Below are 1,101 nucleotides of genomic sequence, written 5' to 3' on the forward strand. Positions count from 1 at the left end.
GTGGAAAAATTTCTAGGCTCCTGCAGGGTAGGAAATATTAGGAATATTTTCTATCCCAACAATTAAACTTCAACACATCACAATTCATGGGGCATCAGGTGTTGAAAGGTCTTGCCTCAGTAGAAGGGAATAATTATCCCTCCAGTAACTGTGGCTCTGATTCAGTCTAACTAAACTCGAAAGAAGAACCAAAAGGATCAAACTATTTCCAAGTAACTTGACTGTATCCTCAAATATATTTACAGAAACACAAAAATATACAGCACCCAACAAGACAAAATTATAACATTTGTTATACAATCAATTTACCAGGTATGCAAAGAAGCAGAAAGTCTGATCCAAGTTGACGACAAAAAAGCATTCAAGAGACGATGGCACAGATCATAAGAGCAAAACACAAGGACATTCAAGCTGCTCTTATAACTATATTCTGTATATTAAAAAAAAAAAACCCAGAGAAGACTGGACGTATTACATCATAACACAGAAGATAGGAAAAGACCCAAATTGAACTTCTAGAAATGGACATTGCTATGTCGATTAAAGAGAAAAAAAGGACAAATAGAAGATAAACCTCAGAACGCAGCATGAAACCAAGTATTATTAATAATTATTTTAAATTTAAATGTTCTCAATACCTCAGTTAGAAGACAGGGATTTCCAAATTGGATGAAGAAAAAAAATAAAAGACCAAGCTCTATGCTACCTGCAAAAAGCCCACTCTGGATATAAAGACACAAATAAAGGTAGAATGATGGAAAATGGTATATTTTGCTAGCACTCACCAAAAGAAACCTGGAGTTGCTACATTAAACTCAGACAAAATAGATTTCAGAGCAGAGAGTGTTACAAGAGATCTTAAGATCATTTCAAAAATGATAAAGGGGTCAACTCATCGAGAGGACATAACAATCCTACATGTTCATGGATTAATAACAGAGGTTCACAGTGCATGAAGCAAAAACTGTTAGAAACAAAAGGAAAATGGACAAATCCACAGAAATAGCGAGATGGAAACATCCATCTTTCCCTAATTGATAAAATAAGGAGGGAGAGTCTGTAAGGACATAGAAGACTTGAACAGCAGCATGAATTGACTTG

The sequence above is a fragment of the Homo sapiens genome, chromosome 8 (assembly GCF_000001405.40).
Source record: "Homo sapiens chromosome 8, GRCh38.p14 Primary Assembly".
NCBI classification, from domain to species: Eukaryota; Metazoa; Chordata; class Mammalia; order Primates; family Hominidae; genus Homo; species Homo sapiens.